We start from the raw sequence: 24,601 nt of genomic DNA on the forward strand, positions 1-24,601 counted from the left end.
AAACATTTAAAAAAATTTTAAACTTTTCCAAGCTTACTTTAAAAATATTACTCAGTACAACTAACAAAGTAATACAAAGTAACACATATATAGAGAAAAAAGTTTAACCATTTCCACCTGCTTGCTTCTCCATTCCTCGCTTCTCTGACAATGTCACTTCCTTATTCATACTTCAAATCAACTGTTAACTTGTAGAGATTGCTGAAGACTTCTCAGTGTCCATTCTGACTCTTCATCTTAGTTTAACAAACCCCATATTTTTAGCTGGTACATTGCTTCCCAAATAAAAGACTACGTTTCCCAGCTTCCTTTGCAATATCATATGGTCATCTTTCTAAGTTCTGGGCAATGAAATGTAAGTGGAATTGTCACATGGGGCTTCTTAAGCCCTCCTTTAAAAGCGAGACTTTCTTTCTAGCATCTTTTCCTCCTTCTTGCTTCTTTGAATGTCAATATGATGGCTGGACTCTAGCAACCGTCTTGGACCATGAGGAAAATAGCCAGGCCATGAGGATGAGGACTATATCATGGGACTTTGCAGTGGTGACCCCGAAGAAGCCCTATCCCTGGTGACTTTGTAGAGCCACTATACTGGACTGCCTGGCTCTAGGCTTCTTTGCTATATGGAGAAATGAGCTTCTATCTTGTTTATGTCATCTGTTGTTCCAGTCTCTGTTGCTTATGATCAAACCTAATTCTACTTGATAGCAAATATTGGGAACTTTGGTGTTTCCTTTCACATATTTCTGCAGGCCATACAAACATGTACAAACACATATACATATATGTAAATTTTTTTATGCCTATTGTTTAAAAATGGAGTTAATAAGTGTCTCTGCTTCTAGCTTTTCTCTGTTGATAATGTATCGTAGATATTGAAGTATTGCTCAAGTGGTCCAGAAAGAAAAATTAAGCAAAACTTGAAACAACTTGAAAGCCATCAATAGGTGACTGATTGAATAAATTATGAGCCATCCGTACTATAGAGTATGCCAACATTTAAAAGAATTAGTTGTATCTATATTTATTGATCTTTTAAAGCTTATCTCCCTTGATAAAACATTTTTTGATCAATAAGGTTCTAAAGGACCCACAAGGTTTCACTTTTACCCCCATCTCAGGAAGCTCAAAGCTCCTGATTAAAGCAACTCTCTTCCTTAGTAAATGAAACAATGATCCTCTTTGTCCACGTAATACCCAGTATCTTTCTTATCTTTATTGCAGTCTTCCCAAACTACCCTGTGTGCTTTTATTGTAAGTTCTTTTGAGTCTTTTGTGGGAGCAAGTGGAACACAAACAATACATTAACCAGTAATTCAGGCGTTTAGTTTCCCACTGAAACTCTCCAAAGCAATTGGAAAGATCAACTGCAAAGTTGGGTGGATGGAGACATCTTTTCACTCTTGATCTAAGAAAGTGAATTGGTTCATAGCCCTGGACATTCTACCCTGGACTCATCTGTTCATGAGATGAACAGTTCAAGAATAGAATGAAGAATTTTGAGTCTTGGATATGGCCAATACCACAGAATGGTGGTTCTCACTGTCACTGGGAGGGTGGGATGCCTATGCATCAGGAGCATTTAGGAGTCCCTGCCTTGCCTGCGTAAGATTCTCGTTTGTGTCCCAGCTCTTATCTTGCAGAGAACCACTGCTGTAACATGCTTTCCAGATGCCAAAAGAAAAAGCTGAGGGCTTTTGGCCTGCTTCTTCATTCCCTCCTCCCATTCCATCCCTTCTTTATCCTCAGTCTCCTCCTGAAATTTCTCTAAAGAACCAGAAGCAGTTATTGTCCTCAGAGAGTTCTAGAATCAGAGCAGGTGGTTCTTAGCTTGAATTATCAAACCCATCCATCTATGTGGATCAGATTGACCAAATGCTTGCTGGGTCTCTGAATTGGTGAGGCTTAGTGGTTAGTGGAACACCCAGGCTTCTACATTAGCTAAGCCTCCCTTATTGACTCCGGACACTCTTCCCAATCTTGAGGATATTGGGTTAGAAGATCCATTCTTGCTCCTTCTTTGGAAAAGCTGAAGCTTTGATCGGGCCCTAAAAAGAATATGCAAAGGCTGATAAGAAAGAAAAATACATGTGATAATCTCTAGTAAAGATTTTTTTATTAAAAAATTATTTTTATGAAAAGAGATGTGTTTGGCCCTTGGAAAGAAGAGAATTTAATTGATAGATCTGTCTAAATGAAGAAAAAGAAAGGCTTGAAGAAGAAGAAAAGGATTTTAGTGGGTTGATAGGGTGTGACAAATGCTTGATTAACTGAGTTGAGGGTTTCCAAAGTTCTAAAATCAGCAGCTGCTAACTCGACATGTGACTCAGAGTAAACCACTTTCCTGGTAGGTCTCACTTTGCCCAAAAATGTAATAAGAGGATCTCTTGGGACTCTTGGCTTGAATACTGTTGGGTTGTGAGTAAGCTGGACTCATTTCAGGACTCTGAGCAGAGTTCTTAGGTCTGTAAGCCAAGCCACTTCTGTTTCTCTTTTGAGTTGCTATAAAGTACAGACGATTCTACCAACCTTGACACAAACGCCCAGCTGCCCCCAGTTCAGTGCCACAGAGAAAAGCCTTGCAGAACAGGTTGAGTTTGTGGATGGGCATGGGGTAGAAGGTATCATCTCTTCTCTATCAATGACTTGGGTGATACTTCTGGCAACAAAACAGACAGGTAAGTGTTCCTAATTTGGTGTGATGTGAGATACGTCTGGGTATGGTGGGACCCCAGAGGGGATGCTGAGGATATATGTGCTGCCTCAGGGGAGATGGACCAGATCATGAAGGGTTGTGCCAGCAATGGACAGAAGGGGTTTTTTGTTGAGGGAGGCAGGAAGAGAAAGCAGTAGCAGGTTCACGACCGGGGCTCTTAGTTGCATATGACAGAAATAGACTCTGAGTGATATGACCAGGAAAAGAAATTCACTGAAAGAATATTGGGTAGCTGACAGGATCCCTGAGAGCTCTAGAGACTCAGGCTTGGGGTTGTATGTGGATAGATGGTAGCTTCACTGACAGAACCACAGCCAGTTTTGTGCCACAGAAATAGGTGTGTAATGGGGGATGCCCCTGCTAATGTGAATGGGTCACTGGCTTCTGAATTCTGCATTCACACCACCCCCACCATCATCAAAAGAAATTTTCCTCTGTTTCTGCTTCTTTGGGTGGCCAACTTCCAACTGAAAGTCTAGAGAGTGTGGGTGACCAAGCCCTGACCACTGGCTTGTGCCCTACCTGCATGGCTTATTGGCTTCTATTGTGAGAAATAAAATGGTGGAGAAGACCCTAAACATAGGACAACGAGCTTGGGACACTCACAAGCTTTCTTCCTCCCAAAAAGACAGAAGCGGCATATAGTTATTAAACATGTTAAATTAAGTTAACATGAACTTAGAAGATCTTTCAAGGTTAAGAGGAAAAAAAATTGGAAGAGACTAAAGGTCAAGTTACAAAGAAGGGAAAAAGTGATTTTGAGGGTCCTCAAGTTTCCATACATTAGTGTCTCCTTAGTTTGGATTTAAAATCAGAGCTTGGATATAAAAATGTGATCAAACCTTGTGTCCACCAGTTTTCTATATGATTAGGGTGACACATGTTTTGAAAGGAAGTACAACCTGGGATGCATTTCTGTTTGAAATGTTAGGGAATTAACAAGGGTGACCTGGCACAGGGACCTGTCATCACAAAACTTGGGAGACCCAAGAGAGCTTGGCAGCAGGTCAGGTGTCAGGCAAGGAACTTTCAGCCACTTTCATGGGGCAGGAGGAACGAAGTAACTTCCCATCCAAGTGGCAACCAATCACATGCTTATAAACAGATAGCACTTTTATGAGAAGCATGACCCCAACCTATACCTTTCTCCTAACCTTCTGATAGTGTGGGAAGGTCTTCAGGCACTGTGCTCAGGTCTCTTAGCAAAAAGAACCACACATATGTGTATGTGCTTGTACACACCCACACACATACAGCCAGGTCTACCAAGGTGGCCAGGTCTACTTTGGGACAAAGGAAACACAAAGATGGCAGGTTAGGTCACAGGATGACCTTGAAGGGCTGTACTCGTGACCTTGGACTCCCTACTCACTCTCTGGATTCCTGAGACAGAGGAAGAGGACCTCCAACAAAGAAGACATCTGGTCCTGCCCAGGAGAACATGGATTGGATTCAGAAAGGTGCTATCTGCAAGTGAACCTTGAAAGAGGACAGGATATTGCTACTTGAGGGAGCAGGAGAGATGGTGGACCACATGGGGGATGGGCATGGAAAAACTCCAAGTCCCCTGCCCTTCTCTTACAGTGATGTTCAGTGAAGGTCTGGGCCTTCCAATTATTCACTGAAATAATGAATTCCTGCTACTCTGATGGCTTTCCACGCCATGATTTGAAGACAAGCAATAAAAGGTATTTATGGCAGCATGAGATTTTATACTCGGAGTTGTAAGGGAAATCTTAAAAATGGAAGAGGTTGCTATGAGATTTTCCAAAGCACCTCTGAGTTTTCATGAGTCAAGCATGGTGATGATATGGCCCTTCCAGAGATAAGGGCTGTACCAAGAGAATTAACAGATCCAGAATCTTAATCCTGGGATTTTCTGCAGTTTCTTTGAAGGGTGATATAGCCCTGGGACTCAAATTGTGGAATGTCCCCACTGGAAGAGGCCCCTGAGAGGCACAGCAGGAGTGGAGGTCTTGGAGGGTGGGAGTCAGGATTTTACCTAAGGTTACGCAGTTAGCTGTGGCAGGAGTGGGTATAACGTGAACACAAATATGCTAGACCCAATTCTTCCAGATGCAAGACACAGAATGTCTTGAGGAAAAAAGGTTATTTGTTGGCTTACATCCCTGAAAAGCCTAAGGGTAGGCACAGTTATCAGGGACAATTGGATCAAGGCCCTTGAAAAATGTCCCTAAGAAGCTGCCTCTCCCCTGCTCTTGGCTCCGCTGCCTTTCAGATTGCATTCATTCTCAGGCAGGCTCTCTGTCATGGTGACTCCTGGAAACTTCACATGCTCATCCTTACAGCTCCAGGTTTAGCATAAACAAAGTGTCTCTTTCCTGGTTGACTCAGTAGAAGTCCCAGGATAAACTCTGATGTGATGACTTAGGTCATGTGCTCATCTCTGAGTTAGTCATTGGACTGGAGTTATGAAATATGCTGATTTGGCTGGGATCAGGTGGGCCTCACTGTCTCAAACCTTTGGGATTAAGAAGGGGGAGGTGTGAGATTTCCAAGGAAAATTTGGGAACTGTTTCTGACAAAAGGGCATCTGGCTACTTAGAAGATAAACCCACAGATGCCCACTACATTAGTTTATCTGCGAGTGAGCCTCATGGATTTCCTCTACACCAGCTGCCCTTTCCAGTACCATGGGAAAGCCTGGGTTTACTTTTTATGACCAGGTGCCCAGAAAGTTCAACCAGCAATCAGTGGTCATTGCCAGGCTGTTCAGGGAAAGGGCGGGAGGTAGGAGAACAATTAAGTCTGCCCTAATGCATCATCCTACCCCAAATGAAGAGCTTAAGCAGCTTATTGTTTTAACTGCATAACTCATTAAAAGAAAATGCATAGTTTTATAGCCCTCCTTGATTGAGACTACATGGCTCATTAATGTTTGATACACCTGCCAAGGACTTAGAGGAAGGCAGTGAGCCTGGTGCCTGTGGGCCAGTGGGCTGAGAGCCCCACCCAGGATGCCCACCCTAGGGAGCCTGAGAGCAGTGGAGCACACTGCTTGGCACTCTGGGGGCAACACTTGCCTGAGCAAAGTAGCACCTTGCAGGGAAAGACTGGGCAGGGGCAACAAATGTGAACATTGGTGCTTTCTCAAACCTCTGCTTTCTCAGAACTCTGGTTGGGGCTGAACGTTTTCACAGGCTGTGACTGAATGTGATAACTTGGATTTAATTGTCAGGCTGCAAGGCTTTTGTGGACAGAAAATTGAGATTTTCAAGACAGGCATGACCTTGGAAATCTTCTAGCTGGGGTCCTAGAATGGGTAAGAGATTTGCTTGAAGTCACACAACCATGAGTGCAAGAGCAGCTGGAACACTAGTGCTTTTTTTGTCACTATGATTTAGTGTTCTTTCTGCCTCCCTAACTAGGATATTATGACCTGGGGCCACAGAGATACACCATTCCTTCAGGTGGTGTGGCCCCAGCACTCTCTGTTCTCTGACGCTCTGTGGCTCCTTACAGCGGTGCCTGAGTGCTTCCTCTGGCTACAGGGCTATGCATGGTGGGTACACAAGGCACCAAGGAGTTAACCATCCCAGGAGCAGCCTTCAGCCAATGAGAGATGAGAAGTGGCAGATGAATATGCAATTCTTTACCCCTAGGCAGGACCACTCTGAGGCATGTGCTTCACTGTTACTCTCAAAAGTATGGTCCCAGGGCCAGCAGCATCAGCATCACCTGGGAACCTAAAAGAAATTCAGATTTTCAGGTCCCACTCACTTCAGACCTACTCATCAGAAACTCTGAGGGTGGGGCCCAGCAGTCAGTTTCAATATCCCTTCCAGGTGATTCTGACGCATGCACGAGTTTGAGGATCTACCCTTTACAGTCTCCAGCGCTTCCTCAAAGCCCTGTTTGCTCCCGTGATAACCTGCTTATTTATGTACCCTGCTTGTTCTCTCTGCTTCTCTTACTTCCCTAGTTTTTGACTGGTGCTTTCTGAGATCATTTCCTGAATAAACAACTTGCCCTCAAATCCTTGTTCCCCTGCTTCTGCAGGAAGCTGAATAGTACCAAGAGCTCCAAACACATCTGAGGTTTCTTTTTCTTTATAGCCACAGCTGGTCCTAGAATCAATGCAGGCTGATGCAAAGCCCTTGATAAGTCATAACATCTTGGGCCAGTAACTTAACCTCGTTGAGCTAAAGTTTTCTAACCGAGAGTCTAAATTTTGGTGACTGAAGGCCTAAGAATCAAAAGATGTGGGTGAGTGGAGTACAGTATTCTTTTCTAGTACACTCAGTATTTAGGGACTAAATGATGCCTCCTAGAGGAGGGCAGATCTCCCTTCCTAATAAATTTCTGCTGCAAAAATTTTCCCAGAGGCCATGAAAACTCTGGGAGAAAGGGACTGGGATGCTGGTCACTCACTTGACATCGAGTTTCAAAGGTAAATCGAATTATAGGAAAGTAGTTACAAGAGAGGGCTGCCTCCCTGAGGGCTTAGGACATCTGTATCAGTAAACCGCATTCCTTGAGGGTTCACTGGAGAGGACTGCTGGTCCCAGATATAGCATATGCCCAGATCCACCACCCCAAGGGCACGTGCCAGACCAAATGGCCACCACTGTGTACTGTAATTGTTGTAACCTGTGTATGAGCTGTGACACTAGGGGCTCAGGCGGTCAGTTGTGGAGCACCCCTCACCAAGGATGATACAGAGGGATGAGTGTCCTGTTTCTCACCATGGGAAATCCTCAGGATAATAAAGAAGGGTCTCCACCTGAGCTTTCAGAAGCAGGCAGCTTAGCAGTAAATGTGGGGTTGAGGAGTAAGATCTCAGTGCCAGTGGGAGGGGATGGTTTGGTAAAAACCAAATTCCTGTGATCCTGCCAGAAGGTTTAAAAAGCACCACAGATCGCTGACTCTCCCTTCCCCCCAGCAGCCTGGCAGACACTGAAGTAACTGAAGCCAGAGGCTGGCAAGGATGTTGGGAGCCAGAAGTTGCTGAGCTCAGTTTCAAGTAAGGCTACCGCCATCCAGCCCTTCCGCAGGCCAAAGCAGTGAGCACTTTGTATTTTGGAGAAAAAGTTATGAGAATTTCTGGCAATAAAGTAGGTAGAGTTGTTGCAATTTGGAATATTCATGTATACATATACACGCAATATACATTCATGTATGTATATTCACACACATACACATATATCTGCATGTGTACATACACAACCCCACTGAGACCCTCAATAGACAGAAAGGTAGACAAACCTCAGCTGGCTGTAGTGGGAACTGAGTAAGTTAACAGTAGTGCAACAGCTCAACACAGTGCCTGGCATGCAGGAGACAATAAATGTCAGGAGTATCCCCATAAAGGCAGAGGGGCAACCATATGGAATACAGTGAGGAGCAAGAATGTCTCAGACTCATGGATGCAGGAATCTGGAACACAGACATCCAATCAGCCAGTCTGACCTCTCGGCCCCCTCCCTCAGGTCCTCCATGGTCAGCCCAGCAGGCTCCATTCACAGATAAGGAATGCAACAGGCACCCCTGGAGTGTACATGTGGTGACCTGGGCCCCCAAGATTTTCCACTTTAATCCTGGTTTCACTCTCCACTGGAGACACAGGATTCCTGGTGTTAGGTCAATGGTCATTGCTATCAAAGCCAAGAAAAAGAAAAGCTTACAGCTTCTCAGTGTTAGCCTCTAAGACCCTGAAGATACACTTTATATCTCCCAGGGCTGCAGTAATATGCTATCCCACATACCAACATTGAAACTGGCTGTTCCAACCAAAGGCACCAACCAGTACCAATGTGTGGCCAGGCCACTCTGAAAAATGTACCAGGGTCACCAAACCACAAAAATCACTTCCTTTAAGCAACAACAACAACAATGCTGGGCGCGGTGGCTCACGCCTGTAATCCCAGGCTGAGGCAGGTGGATCACGAGGTCAGGAAATCGAGACCATCCTGGCTAACATGGTGAAACCCCGTCTCTATTAAAAATACAAAAAGTTAGCCGGGCGTGGTGGCGGGCACCTGTAGTCCCAGCTACTCGGGAGGCTGAGGCAGGAGAATGGTGTGAAGCCAGGAGGCGGAGCTTGCAGTGAGCCGAGATCGCGCCACTGCACTCCAGCCTGGGTGACAGAGTGAGACTACATCTCAAAAACAACAACAACAACAACGAAGAGTTGCTTTGTCACATTTTCAATTACAATTAAATGAAGAAATGGAATCAGCCACCACAAAATACTAACTATGAACTTCACATTTGCAGCCCTGCAAGTGTTGCTCTTCCTCAAAATACAACCTTGCTGGAATTTTCCCCTTCTCATCCTTCATTGGCGAGAATTAGTGATGAAACACTCCCATATGTTACTGACAAGAATGCAACCTTCTAAAAGGCTAGTATTTGGCCAGGTGCAGTGGCTCACACCTATAATCCCAGCACTTTGGGAGGCCGAGATAGGTGGATCACATGAGGCCAGGAGTTCAAGATCAGCCTGGCCAACATGGTGGAACCCTGTCTCTACTAAAAATACAAAAAAATTAGCCTGGCGTGGTGGTGCTTGTCTGTAATCCCAGCTACTCGCGTGGCTGAGGCACAAGAATTGCTTGAACCCAGGAGGCAGTGAGCCAAGATCGTGCCACTGCCCTTCAACCTGGGCAACAGAACAAGACCCTGTCTCAAAAAAAAATTAAATTGAAATAAAAGGCTAGAATTCATCCAGCTAGAATGGGGATATGAGAGTGAGGGTTTCTGCTGCACAACTGAAGTCCAGTGGACTCAGTAGCCCTGGATTGGTATAAAAATGCTAATTGCCTTGATTTATTGAGTGTCAGGGTGGTACATGCCTTCATACAGTATTGCTAGTTGTCACAGCAGCCATGCGGACTGCTAATTCCTTATCCTGTGATCTTAGGGTATGTAGGAGTTTCCAGATCTCTAACCCTGCTACTAGTGAGAGCCCACAATGTGCCACCCCCTGTACCTGCTATTAACAAGTGGTACTTCTAATATTGACCAATCTCATGGCTGCCAAACTGTAGTCTTACAAATGAGGAGAATAAAATGGAGCCGATATTAACTGTGTTGCTAATGAACGGTTACTGTAGAGGAAAGTTGTCCCTTCTATTTTTTCAAATCAGTAATTACAGGACACACATTTTAAAGGAAATAAACTAATATGAATTACTTCCAAATATGATTGGTAAAATAGATAATTCTTTCCAAGAAAATATATATTTTGTAATCTTGGCTTTTTAAAACAGCTTTAGCAAAGTATATTTTACATATCATAAAATTCATACATTTCTGGTGTATACTTCAATGCATTTTTAGTAAATTTATAGAGTTGTACAACAATCACCATAAATCAATTTTATGAGGTTTTCATGCCCCAATATGATCCCTTGTGCCAACTTACAATTAATGTCCAGTCCCACCCCAGCCCCAGGCAACTACCAATATACTTTCTTTCTCTGTAAATTTGAATCTTGGCTGTTCTTTATTGCAGTTCTCGGCCTCTGTGTTTTCATTGTCCAACTGAAGATTAGACAAGAGGCAGCATGGGGTGGTGGATAAATCGTGGACCAGGATTGAAGCGAAGATCTGCTCATCTGGGACACTCACCAGGTAAGTGAGATTGAGAAGGGGACTCCTCTTGGATCTTAGTTTCTTCACTGACTAGCAGGCATTGCAAGACCAGTTTTCCAAGGCTGCTGAGAGTCAACTGTGCAAACATGCTGTGAACTAGGTAAGTGGCATCATCCTTATTTATAGACGAGGCAACCAAGGCTTAGCAGGTTAAGTAATAGTCCCAATGTCACTCAGTTAGAAAGTGATGGTGTTGGGATATGCACTCAGTCTTTCTAGCCTTGAAGTACATGTGTTTTCTAGTATACCTCACTGGTCCCCAAAACTCAATCCAATATTGAGCTGAGTAAATTTTCTCATCTGTCAGCTGTATGGAGTAATTCCCCCTGAGCTTACTTACAGTCAACCTTCAGTGTGAACCAGACTGCTGCCTCCCCAGCAGCTCTCATTGGCAGCACCCCTGGTGATGCACATATGCAGACAGCAAGCACTTTGAGTCTCTTCTAGGTTTACAGCTTCGTCTGTGGGTTCTCTAGGGTCCCAGGTATGTAGCTGCAGACCAGGCATCCAAGCTGCCTCTCATCCAGCGTGCTTCTTCCCATCACTTGGAATTTCCATTTCAAAGTGGGTTCATGGCAACTGTTCCTAATCAAAAAGAGTCACTATTCTCATCTTTGACTCTCCAGTCTGTATCCAAACATACAGGACTCACCTTCCCACAAGCACAGGCAACTCTCATAAGAGGCAGACTCAGATCCTGCAATTCTGACCTTGATAATTGGACTCTAAAGTTGTTCTGCTAATAGTCATTTGCCAAGGAGTCAATCAACAGATTCTGCCCTGGGAAACAAAGGGGCCATGGCTCAAGGTTTCTGGGACTTGAAACCTCCAAAATGACTATTTGGCTCAGTTCATTTTCCAAAATGGTTACCTGAAAAATATTAAAAGCCCTAGACTCAAGGTCTCTGTGAAATTCTGAACTTGCCTGCAAGGAGTAAGGTAGGAGGTGCTGAATTCTGCTGTTGGTTCTATACTAATGCACACTTCTTTGCAAAATAAGTTTGGTCGGGTCAGTTTTTGTTATTTTGCTTTGTTTAAGTTATTTTTCATAGCAATTCACCCTCCACCCACCAACCCACATTTACCAAGTTCTGTTTTTATGCATTTTATATATTTGGGTTTTATGTAAGACTTTTTTCAAAAAAGAATTCCACTACAAAAAAGAATGGAAAAACACTGGGTTTGTTGCCTCCAGCTCTAACAAATAATCGAAGACTTTGTAAAAGATTTCTTTCAAAACTGAGAGCCATCCCTATGATTGATGTGAAGTAGCACTTAGTCGACAAGCATTCTATTCAGCTTTCTTTACAAACAGTGTTTTAGGAATTCACCAATCCGTGATCCTTCAGGAATTTTACTTGGAACAACAGATAAAGTAATAAACACCATGGACATCTGTGCAGGACATTCAGCCATCACATTTGTTAATTTGTTTTGGTGCTGTCTCTTATGTGCAGGTTATTGAAGGAGGACTCAATAACAAGAGAGTCTCGAGAAAGCCAGTGGAAGGGATGTAGCACAAAAAGCAGAAGGTCGATAAAGCTGTACTCATGTTTAAGCTAGGGACCTTGTTTATTTCTTCAGATCCAAGTACATACACTTTCAGCCACAGGTGTGTGCAGGACTCCCTTACAGGATATCCTGGCTGTGTGTGTGTGTGTGTGTGTGTGTGTGTGTGTGCGCGCATTTGAGACACAAAGACAGAAGGACTTGGGAAGGAGGGAGAGAGAAAAAGAGAGAGAGGAGAGTAAGATACAGATAAAGGCACAGAGAGACAGAAAAATATTCACAGAGAGATAAAGTTACACAGAAACAGACATAGACAGACAGAAACCAAGCCTGCAGAAACCAAGATGTTTATAGAAGGGAAGACAGAAAAATAGAAAGACACAGAGAAACAGAAAGAGAAGAGATGTGGTCAGCCAAAAAATATTTGGTGACGATAGCCTAACGAGACTTATTAACACAACACAATGTATGAATCTCATTTAGATGCTGATCTGAATGAACAAATGGTAAAAAAAAAAAATAAAGCGGAGTCAGTTGAATAAATCTGAAGCACTGATTCAATGTTTGATAATAGCAAGAAATTATTGCTAACTATTGAGTGTGTTAATGGTATTGTTATGTTTTAATTGAGCCATTATCTTTTAGAGACACTTTCTGAAATGTTTAGGGGTAAAATGATACAATGCCTGAGCTTGTTTCAAAATAACATGCAGGGAGGGGTGGGTGAGGATGTCAATGAAAGATTATTAAAACTCGGTGATGGGATCATGAGGGTTCCTTATATTATTCTGTAACTTTTGTGTATGTTTGAAAATTTCCGTAATATGAAGTTAAAAAAATTGTTAAATGCCTACCATGAGTCAGGCAATAGTGTAGGGAATGGGAAATAGGGTGAATAGGATAGAGGCAGGGATGAGAGGGACAGACAATGGAGATGGAGGGATGGTGACAGAGGCAGACAAAAATCCAAAGAGATAAAGGAGAAAGGGAGGGAGGGGGTGGGGAGGATAAAGGCGTGAGTGCTGTGCTCACCCCCATGTACAGAAAAGAGGCTTCATCCCAATGATATTAGGGTAGTGACAAATATTTCAGCATTCCAGGAACCCCAGGGTTAAAAATGAGACTTCAGCAGAAATCACTCCACTCACCACCAGCCATGACAGGAGTTCAGGTCCTGTCAAAGCCTCCCATATTGTATTTATTGGAGTCTTTTGGGAGCTTGAGCCCAAGTCCATTCAGCTGCCACACAGCATTCCCCCAGGCTCCTTTGTCTCTTTCTCTGGCTTATGGTCCAGGCTGGGCCTCTGCAGGGCACTGCTGTTCTTTCCTCTTACTGGTCACTGGGGTTTCTCCTGGTCACCACTCCCACTTCCAGTGGGTCCTTCTCTGCATAGTGGGCACCTTCATCCTTCCCTCCTGCTGGGCACCGCAGCCTGTCCTGTGCACTGCCATGCTTTCTGGGCATGGCCACCTCTTCCAGGTTTTGCTTTTGCCCTACACTGATAGCTGCCACCCTAGCCAGAGAAAGTGCTAGAGCCTTCCATATGACAAAATGCATAATGGCCTGTGGCAACATGGAGAAGATGAAGGCACCTCTCCACTCTGCCTCACACAGAGGCCAAGGACAGCCAGAGCTGGGCTGCTCGTGCTCCAATGCCTCACCACTCTTCATTCAACAGCCCTTTCCATTTTCCCTCGTAGCACTCTTTCTTCCAGCGATCACATGAATCCATGGGGCTGGGTGGGGCCAGACCCAGGGCCAGCCACTACACTGAACTCTGCATCACTCTGCTTCTAATAATCACTCCACATCACACTGCTTCTAATAATCAAGGCCAAGCATGACCCACCCTGCAGATGGAGTAGTAGTCAGGGTTCTCTAGAGAACTAGGACCAATAGACTATATCTAGATATACAGAAAAAGATGTATTAGGAAGATTGTCTCATGCCATTATGAAGGCTGAGGAGTTCCACAATCTGCTTATTGCAAACTAGAAGCCCAGGTCACGTAGGTCCAGTCCAAACTTAAAGGCCTGAGAACCAGGAGAGCCAGTGGCATAGGTCCCAGTCTGAGTGAGAAGGCTCAAAAACTAGGGGCACTGATGTCTGAGGGAAGGAGAAGATGGAAGTCTCAGCCTAAGCAAAGAGCAAATTCAGACTTCCTCTGCCTTTCTGTCCCAGCAGGGCCCTCAATGGATTGGATGATGGCACATTGGTGAGGGGAATCTTCTTTACTCCGTGTACTGATAAAAATGCTCATTTATTCCTGAAACACTCTCACAGGCAAACCCCAAAGTGATGTTCTACCAGCTATCTGGGCATTCCTTAACCAAGTCAGATTGAGATAAAATGAGCCATCACAGATGGCTTTCCTCCCTTGAGGTTCTGTGGTCTTCAGAAGGTCTGCCCCACTACTTCCCGTCCCAAAATGTCTCCAGACATGCAGAGACCACGCTTGGCAGAAAGCAGATCCCTCCTACACACAGTTTTCATGAAGGAGAACTCCGAGAGGGAACACTGCAATTCCTTATGCCCTGTGCTATCATATTGCAGAGCCATGGCTCCTGCCTATCTCCATCCTTTCCCTAGAAGTCTTCCTGTGTATTTAAATTCAAAGAGGCACTCTGAGCCTGCTGGACTTACTCCTCCAGACTTACTCCTCCAAGAATTAAGGGGGAAATACGTGTTTTCCAACAAAGGCAGAAACTTCCAGTGATGAAGAAATGATTCCTCAAACCATACTCTGAGAGCATGGATGTGTGCAAAGGGTGTTATCATGCAAAGGGAGGTATTTCAGCTTAAGAAGCAGATGCTGCCCCTTCCTTTGTATGTAAGGAGGAAAGGACACTGGCATTGACTGAGGTAATGTCTATAAAGCACCTGGTATTGTCCTCTTCACTTACAGGGTCTCTGTAAATAAGCGCCCCTTTCTCAAGTCCTATCCTTTCCTCCCCCCACCACCAGGAAGATCTCTTTTCTGTAAAGCAGGCAGTTGTCACACTTCTTCCAGGGGGAATTTGCATTCTAAACCTTCTCTCTGCATTTGCAGGGTGATTAAAGAAGGGGCAGGAAGATGGAAACCAACTAAAGGCTGATAGATACCTTAAGAAAGCAAAAGAGAGCATAAAAGAAAAACTTATCTTTGGCTTAGATTTTGCAACTGTTTATTGCACATCTTCTATGTACTAAGCATTATGCTAGCTTTCACGTTCTATGAGATGAATATTATTTTAATAATAGTAATTATTATTATAGCAGCTAGCATTTATTGAGCATTTACTATTTGCCAACTGTTGTGCAATGTGCTTTACACACACTATTTAATTTTCATATAATCTGAAAAGGTATATACTTTTGTTAGGCCCATCTTGCCAATGAGAAAATGAGGCTTGGGGAGAACTATGAGTCCCAAATCCCACCTGTGTCAGTGCCTTATTGCTTTGGTTCTTTAGACCAGAGGGTTTGCTATTGTGGCTCAAAGGCTCTGGATGTTGTGGCAGTGTAACTCTGAGAAACCTGTTATGAGGCTCTGATGTTATTTGTATTTTTGAAGGCACTGACTAGCTCTGAATCAGAAAGGAAATAGGCAACAAAAAGGATTTCCCTGTTGTAGACAGAGCACGTCAGCTGTATTTGAAACACCGAGACACCCTGAGAGGAGGAACCACCTTTGCCTCATCCCCCTCATTGCTTGAGCTCCCTGAGATCCCATGGCCCTCTTCAGGCCAGACGGTTTTTGACAATCCCAAATAGGGCTTTATGTCACTCAGTGGGTCAGCGTAAGACTGTCACTATCCTTAGCGTCAGGCAAAGAGCTAGAAGGTAGGAGGTGATTTCCTCCCATGTCAATTCTCTTATCCAAGCTTTGAAAGGTGAAGTTTATATTTTACTCTATCCCGAATTCAGACACTGACAACCAGATCTCTCCACCATTGAAGATATTTCCCAAATGCATGGATGTGACTTCTATCTCAGCAATCCCTTCAAGACCTAGAAGTCCACAAGTCCTCTATAGGCCCTCCCATCCTATCTCCTTGTTGTTTCTGCCCATTCAACCAGGGAGAGGTACAGGGTATCATTAAAGACTCTTAGGCCTGGCTGCTTGAGGTGTGGTCCATAGATCGGTGGAGTCAGCACTCCTTGTTAGGCCTCCAGAATCTCAGGCTGAATCAGAACTTATGTTTTTAACAAGATCCCAGGTGGTTCACATATATATTAGAGTTTGAGAAGGACTGCTAAGCCAGTGGTTCTCAAACTTGGCTGCATGCTGGAACCATCTGGGGAGTTTTTTAAAAATACCAGTGCCTGGTCCTACCCCCTGGAGATTCTTATTTTCTTGGTTTGGAGGTTGCTTGGGTAAAGAAGTATTGAAAGGTCCCCAGTGATCCTGGTGTGCCGCTGGGGTTGAGAACCACTGGCTTAGAGAATTGGATAACACCTACTTTAGCTACACTGATGAAATCTAGACGAGCGACCCCCTTGCGGGCGTCCTATCACTTAGAGTGCCGAGGGTGACTACCCTCCAGGACTCTGATTCCAGAGTCAGCCCTGCCTCCTCTCTCCCTGGCAAGGAGGAGCAGGGACCTCTCTATTCTGCAACAAAGGGGGCTTCTTTGGCTTGTTTCATGGGAAGATGGGAGGTGAGGGAGCAGTAGTTTCCAGCTGAAGTGCTTTCATCGCCCTGTGGCCAGGTAACCACAGTCTCTGTCGAAAAAGAAGGCATTACTGGCCAGTGCATCTGAAGGTCAAAAGTACTTGAACATCTTTCCTGAAGGACGGAAAAGCAGTGAAAGGAGTCAGACTTGGCTGCTGCCTGGCCTTGCTTTTATGGGAAAAACAGAAGTTATGGGATGGGAGGAGCGTGAAGAGTGGGTGTTGCCGGCCCTCCTGGCATCACAGCTTGTGAACCATAGCAGTGATGGGCAGTCGCTGTCTTCACTGGCCCTGCCAGGTCCGGAGATCCCTGCAGGGGCACTAAGAATTCACCCACTGCAGAGGCCCCACCTCGAGGCAGTTTCCTGTGTGCAGTTATTTTGGGAACAGGAACTGGATGTTTGGGAGGAAGAAGGGTAGCCAAGGGCCTGGAGGCAGGCGGTGGAGAGGTGAGGCCCAGCAGCTCAGCAACACTGAAAGGGCCCCAATGTCCAGACACCCAGGCAGCTTCCACTTGCCTCCACTCCCAGCACAAAGGCGCAGTCACGTGGCCGCTGGGGCTGCGACTTGAAAGAGCTCCCATTGTCCACGCTGCCTCAGGTTTCAGGGAACCAGACGCTGGGAGGACGGACTTTTTTTTCTTTTTTCTTTTCTTTTTTTTTTTTTAAAGTAACGGGGGCGAAGGCCAACAGCATTTTCGACTCCGGAAGTGGGGTCTACACATGCACACACGCCAAACAGACTTCTCCAAGTTTGTTTTTCTAACACATTGGAAACCACACAGTTCAGGAGAAAATTCATCTCACATGCTGTAGCCTGCTTTCCCGGAACGTGTCCAGAGACTGCTGTGTCAACACTGCCAAACTCAGCAAGCCACTCTCCCAACGGAATGGTGTGATTTGCCAAGGAAAAAACTGAACCCAGAGCCTGGGAGGAGGGAGCCGGGGGCCGGCGGCTAGAGGGGATTGCGCATAGTTCAAAGGGAGGGTGGGCTTCCAATTGGACAAGGCACTTCCCCGATTACACAGCTGTCACTGACCCCTCCAAAGGCCACCGCTGCATCCCCTTGGGCTCCCTGTTCCCAGACAGGGCTGCATTTGTGTGCTCAGCTGCTGACTGTCCTACTCTTAAAGCACTCAGGGTGGGAGTGTGCGGAGGGAGGAATGAGGATGTTTCTCAGCCTTTCTAAGTTCTGCCCCGAGGCAGCTTGGCGGAAGAGGAAAGGGCTTTGGCATCACCGTGACCGGATATTAATGTAGCTCATAGGTCCTAGCTGCATTTGCCTAAAACAAGGATGAGCTCTTCCTCTTTGCAGAGATATTACAAATAGAAAAGATGCTAAGGATGGCGAAGGTGTTTACTACAGGGCAGGGACATAATAGGCGCCCACTGAATATCCGTTTCCTCCCACCGGTTTGTCCCTGGAGGTTGAGTGTGTGGTTCTATCTCTCTTGCTTGGTTTTTAGGAGATAGAGGACAGCTCACCCATAAAGGGAATGTCTTGGATATGGAATTTCACAGTTAAAGCAGCCCCCAGACACCAAGTACAGCGACGAAACTCCTTTTCTTTCTCCCCATGGAATATAAGCCCCAGTTCTACTGGGTGGCAAGAAACATCATCCAGTTTATGTAATGACTCCAGTCATTAATAGGGTTAACTTAGGATCTGCAATTTGCAATTTGGTCACAGTCTAGCCCAAAATGACTGTGGGATTTCTTGCCTCTCCCCGTGCTTTTGTCCTAACTTAGTCTCTGAGGAGCAGGTGGTGAATGGAGGTCTTCGTGACTGGATGTGTGGGAGGGAGCAGCCACCTTGACCTCTTCTACTTTGGGTGCCTGCATGCAGCGTGGTAACCAGCTTCTCCATGCAGGTGGACTGGACGTGGGCAGCCTGCTGAGGAGTGTTGCTCATGTAATTCACACTCTGGGTGTGGCAAGTGGGTGGTCTGGTTTCCAAAAAGTTCCCTTAGAATCAAATCAGTCATGCTTCCTTTCCTCTACCCATCCCAACCAGCATATAAGCTGCACCCTTTTTTGGTGTTTGTCTCCCTGAATTACCTCACTCATCTGGCAACTTTCAAGAGCATGCTGACTCTTTCTGCTGGCTATGTGGGACCTGCAGAGTCTCCTCCACACCACTTGGGGGCTGAAGACAGCCTGATGCCCGTCTCCTGTACCTCTCCTGTACCAGCTCTCTAACACTCTGCTGGCTCCAATGAGGTAGTTCCATGAGATTGCCACTGTCAGAAACCTCTGGAAGAGAAGCAAAGGCCTTCCTCTTCTCTCTCAGCTGTCCTCAGCCCTCATGAGGAACCCTCTCCCACTTCTTGCTCCTTCCTTTGATGATGATGATAATGATGATGATGATGATGATGATGGTGATGATGACAACCTCTGTGTGTGTACGATGGAATATATCGCTCCTCATTCTTGATCTTTAAACTCTTCTCTCCTCAGGCAGAGGGAAAACCTGTCTCTTGCTACCTCTTTGCATCAGGTCTGTCTAGTCTCAAACTCAGAGCTGTGTTCTTTAGCAACTTTAGTGTTAGGAGTCTCTGCTCTCAGTGCTGGGGGGATGTCTGCAGAAATGGATGATCTTGATTTTAGTTTCTATTTGGTGGAGAGTCCCAACAAGAAGCCACCAGGGATCATGAAGGGGCACATTTAATTAATATCTCACTTATCAACCTGCCAGTTTCATCATTTTAAAATTGACTGGTTTCAGGTCCCCTCTCAAGTTGTTCACTAGCTACTGGCAACCATCTCATGGTATGACCTTGAGCACATTACTGCAGATTTCTGAGCTTCGATTTTCCAAGGCTGGATCATCTATAAGTCCCCTTCCAGCTCCAAACTTCTAACATGTATGTGTTTGAGATTCTGGACAAGCCTCTATGTGCTGAGCTCTGGCATCCATATGAAATACAGACAGTCCCCATCAGACTCCAATTTCTCTAGTAATGGAGGGGAGGTCTGGTATAGATTAAATATAATCCACTGATAATCCAAAACCCCACGTTAGCCTTTGGTTTTGATCTCATGTATTAGAGGAGTGAACAAGCTACAAAATTGACCAATTTGAATTCTACCTGTCCCTTCCCCTTCTATCCTCTCAAAGACATGCTAATTTGATCTGTAATGTGGCCAAAGGGCAGACAGTAGAAGGGAGGAGAAGCCAGAGGCATGAAAAATCCCCAAACTGGATCATCCACCCCCTGGATAATGGGCAGCTACCTGAACAGAATGCTCAATGAGGGCTCATCTTTTTTCAAGCCAGCCCTGTCCCCATGCTGCAATAGCTATAATCTCCATGGCAAAAGGCATTAAACCATTGAGTTCCTTAGACAAATTCCACCATTCCTCACTCAATTCACAGGCAGGCTAGATTTATTGAAATTGAGAAATTGTTTAATTGTCATTTGGAAGTAGCAGTCTATTTAAAAGACCTAACCAAAATGCCCATCTGGGGGCCCAGGAACCCGGTTTTCTGCTATCTGAATAAGTACAAGCAAACAGAAACTTGCATAAATTTTTCATGATTGCCTCCATAATTATAAATGTTTTTCTATGAATACCCCTTAAGCTATAAATGTACCCGACTTGTAAATATTGCTAAAATCCCATATGACCTCCTCTGGTCTCTCTCTACACCATAATCTCTTTGGAGTGCTGGGAGTACCCATTTTTGCTAACCATAATCTCTCTATATATCTCTCAGTTTATATCTTTGAAGGAGGAAATTTGATTGGCTCTTGGCTTGACAATGGATAGGCTGCCTTTGGGTCAGAGGAGGATATATTCATTGCCTGCTCTACCCACAGACCCTGCCTGGACAAGGCTGCTCCATGTACCTTAAAACTATGACAACAGTTACTTATACTAGGAGTGGACATCTGAGCTGGTCTGTGCTTACAAAATTCTTGGACTCTATGGCAAGAGACTAAACCAGCATGTAGCAACGTCCTTTCCTACTGCGAAGAACAAGTTAGACTACATGAGACTCTGAAGGTCCCTCAAATTCGAATGTTCTATAATTTCTTTCCTAAGCCTAAAGATTCTTACAGCCTCTTGAAACCTGATTCCAGCAGAGATGAGGACTCACCAGGATATAGTGCGGCCAAGAGACTCTAAGCCGAGGTTAAGGTGGTAGAGAGGACTGGGAGTTAACAGGAATGCATACAAGTCAGGGCCAGAACTGTGATGACTGTGGCCCTCAGGAAGGGGGAACAATCAAAGATCAGGTCTAAAACTGGTGTCACAGCTGTCTTGCTGGGGCTGGACACCTGTATGCTTCTGGCATATGGAATTGGATATCCCTGGTCTCTATCCTCTGATTTATCTGGAGGTTGAGGAAACTCCTGGGAAAAGATTCCAACTCTGCTCACAGTTGGAGTTAGACCCCACTCAGATTTCCTTTACCTGCTTGCGCACTCCTCCCCCAGCTCCTATGAGTGGCTCGAGAGAATTGCCTTTGGCTGAACCAGAGATTTTGCATCTCAGCCCCAAAATGCAGCATAACTAACTTCTATAGGGCTACAAAAGGCTAGCTCCCAGCCCATTTTTGGGACTAGACTGAGGCTGGTATCCATCTGAGACCACATCCTTGATTAGCTGCTTTCTCACTCCATCCTGTTCCCCTTCTCCTGAAGAGCTTCTTTCAATAAATTGTGTACCTTGAAATTTCTGTCTCAGCTTCTGTTTCTAGAAATCCTGACCTAAGTGATATTTTGTTGTTTAATACTGGGGAAGACTTGTATTTGAGAGATTCTAAGGAGACCACCTTTTTAATGCCTGCTTCTTTTATGTCTTTGGGATCTTTCATTCTAATAAGGGGAAAATGTGTTAATTCACCAAAATGGTGGATTTGTTGACTGTTACGGAATAAGATAACCACTGCTCTACAAAGTTATTTATTTAAAGCAGAAAGATAATTTTTTTTTTTGGTGTTAAGGGATGTTTTAATTTAGTATGCAGTAACAAAAATTTGTACACTAGCAATTGAGTTTAAAAAAAGTATTTGTGTTATTTTGAATTGCTTCCCAAACACACAAATTAATAGAAATTGCTTAAAGACTTTAATACGGACTTTTTTTTTTTTTTTGATGGAGTCTCACTCTGTCAACCGAGCTGGAGTGCAGTGGCATGATCTTAGCTCACTGCAACCTCCGCCTGCTGGGTTCAAGCGACTCTCTTGCCTCAGCCTCCCGAGTAGCTGGGACTACAGGCATGCACTGCTACGCCCAGCTAATTTTTGTATTTTTAGTAGAGACGGGATTTCAACATATTGGTTGGCCAGGATGGTCTTGATCTCTTGACCTCATGATCCACCTGCCTTGGCCTCCCAAAGTGCTGGGATTACAGGCGTGAGCCACCATGCCTGGCCCTGTATAGGCATTTTTATTGTGGACACCTTCTTTTTTGTTTTCCTTATAGCCCCATTCCCCTCTCCTTCTTCTCCTCCTCCTCTTCTTTATCTTTCTCTCCTTCAGGTTAGCTATTACCTTCCTATTGCTATACTCATCTCAAAAATTTCAGCTCCTTGAGTCATCCCAGTTGTATATTTTCTCACAAAAGTCCTGTATTCGCGTCTCTTCCTTCAAATAGTGATCTCAAGCATAGTTCTTGCTCTTAAGAAAGAAGCCCCCTTTTCCTGACTCACCCCACCAAGCTGCTGCCAAGCGTTCCGACGACTGCTTTGGGTTCCGAGTGGTTCCTCTGCTTGTGCAGCTGTTTCATCCAGTTAGCCAGCACAGCCTTACTCTGCCTCGCTTTCCTCTTCATTTCAATCCCCTAATCCTGCCTCATACCCAAGGCTTTTCTTCCTACTTGGTTCTCCTTATAGTGGTAACGGCTCCTCCTTGATAGTCATTGGTGACCATTGGTGAGAACAAGTGCAAACAGGTCTAGAATTGCTTTATGGGTCAGTGTATCAGTTTTCTATGGCTGCATAACAAATTACCACAAACCGAAGGATTTAAAATATTTAGGTTGGTGCAAAAGTGATTGTAATTCTTGCCATTACTTTTAATGGCAAAAACTGCCGTCAATTTGCACCAACCTAATAACACCCATTTGTTAGCTCATCGTTCTGTAGGTCAAAATTCCTGGCCCATCTTGACAGAGTTCCTTGCTCAGGTCCCACTTTAAGGGGTGCCTTCTTATCTGGAGGTTTCAGGGTGGCGGGGAGGGGTGGGCAGAAATCCAAGCTCATTCTCATTGAACTCAGTGGCAGAATCCAGTTCCTCAGTTACAGGACTGAGGTCTCCATCTTCTTGCTAGCTGTTGACCAGGACTTGTTCTCAGCTCCTAGAGGCCAGCTGCCTGCTGCATGCCATATGACCCCTTCATCTTCAGGTAGGCAGTGGAGACTCTCCCTTGCAATGATTCCCTCTTATATGAATATATTGGGTCTCTTATGTCCCCTGTCTCTAATCTCAAGACCCAGATTTAAAGGACTCATGAGATTAGGTCAGGCCCACTTGAATAATCTTCCTTATTTAGCATCCACCATGGCATATAATGCAACCTAATCACATGAACAATACCTGCAATCTTTGCCTGAGGACTTCAATCAGTCCATGTGGGAACAAGCAAGAAGTGTTAGGGACCCCCAAGAGCAGCCAGCAACCAATAACAGACGAAAACTCCAGCTTTCCTGCCCTTCAGTTCCTAACAGGGCATGGACTGGTACTGGTTTGTGGCCTGGGGGTTGGGGACCCCTGGCCTAGGGTATCAGGTTGAAGAAATTGCCAAACAGCAAAGGATTCAAGATGTGATCTGGCTGCTTCTAATGGCCTACAATCAGATACAGGAGCAAATAAATGAGTTAAATTTGGAACTTAAAGTTAAAAGAGAAGAAGAATATAAAAATTTGGAAAATTTGCAGACTGGCCATGTGATAGAGAAGGAAAAATCATTTTCAGGAGAGGAATTCAAGCAGTCTGTGGAGCAACCACTTGCTGGAGAGATCAGTGTAACTAAAATGGAACCAAGTGCTAATATCCAAGGCAGTGAGGAAAAGGCTTCAAAGGCATTTCAGAAATCTTGGAGGCAACCTTTCCCATCATAGGCCCAGAGGCTTAGGTGGACTGAATGGCTTCCAGGGGCCAAGCCCTGGGTGCCATTGCCCTGAGCCACTTTGGGAGGCTTTCCTCCCTATCCCTGCTGCTCCAGCTGCAGCTCAAAGGGCTTTAGGCACAGCTCAGGCTTCCACTTTGGAGAGTAATCCTTGGTGGCTTCCATGTGGTGGCAAGCCTATAGGTGCACAGAATACAAGAATGAAATAGGGTTGGCAGTTTTTAATGTAAATTCCAGAGTATGTATGAGAAAGCTTGGCTGCCTAGGAAGAAGCCTACAGCAAGGTGGGAGCCCCCACACAGAATCCTTACCAGGGCACTTCCTAGTGGAGTTGTGGGAAGGGAGCCATTGTCCTGCAGACCCAAAAATGGTAGAGCCACCAGCAGCTTTTAATCTGATCCTGGAAAAGCCACAGGCACTCAACTCCAACCTGTGAGACCAACCATGGTTGCTGCACCCTGCAGCTACAGAGGCAGGGTTGCCCAAGGCCTTGGGAGCTCACCTTTTGCACTAGTGTGCCCCGGATGCAGGACATGGAGTCAAAGGAGATTATTTGGAGCTTTAGGGTTTAATGTCTGCCCTGCTGAGTTTCGGACTTGTATGGGGCTTATTGCCCCTTTTATTTGGCCAACTTCTCCCATTTAAAATGGGGATATTTACCCAATTTCTGTTCCACCATTTTATCTTGAAAGTAAATAGCTTCTTTTTTACTTTACATGCTCATAGGTAGAAGGAACTTACCTTGATTCTCAGATGAGACTTTGGACCTTAGACATCGGACTTTGATTTGATGCTGAAACAAGTTAAGTCTTTGGGAAACTATTGAGAAGGGATGGTTGTATTTTGCAAAGTGAGAAGAACATAAGATTTGGGGCCCCAGGGGAAGAATGATATAGTTTGGTTTGGATGTTTGTCCCCTCCAAATGTCATGTTGAAATATGATCCCCAATGTTGGAAGTGGGGCCTAGTGGGAAGTGTCTGGGTCATGGGGACAGATCCCTCATGAATGTCTTAGTGCCCTCCTTGTG

At 44.9% G+C, this 24,601-nt stretch overlaps 1 long non-coding RNA gene across 5 annotated transcripts in view, besides 1 other annotated feature; it reads left to right on the forward strand.

Annotated features, from left to right (window-relative positions):
- LOC105377043 (uncharacterized) overlaps positions 1-24,601 on the forward strand; it is a 191,504-nt gene that overhangs the window by 43,816 nt on the left and 123,087 nt on the right. For 3 of the 5 annotated variants that reach the window (XR_007095885.1, XR_940766.3, XR_007095884.1), the window contains exons 1-2: positions 2,533-2,678; positions 10,194-10,312. This is a non-coding gene — a long non-coding RNA (uncharacterized LOC105377043). Of the gene's footprint in view, positions 1-2,532; positions 2,679-10,193; positions 10,313-24,299; positions 24,376-24,601 lie in introns of those variants that run through there. The other 2 variants (XR_007095883.1, XR_007095886.1) reach the window with 2 other exon arrangements.
- Positions 4,810-5,010: a silencer, noted in NCBI's record as "peak4616 fragment used in MPRA reporter construct". NCBI's record gives its function as "represses an SCP1 promoter by STARR-seq MPRAs in K562 erythroleukemia cells {active_cell/tissue: K562}" and the evidence as "EXISTENCE:reporter gene assay evidence [ECO:0000049][PMID:32103011]".

Source organism: Homo sapiens, chromosome 3 (genome assembly GCF_000001405.40).
Source record: "Homo sapiens chromosome 3, GRCh38.p14 Primary Assembly".
Classification (NCBI taxonomy): domain Eukaryota; kingdom Metazoa; phylum Chordata; class Mammalia; order Primates; family Hominidae; genus Homo; species Homo sapiens.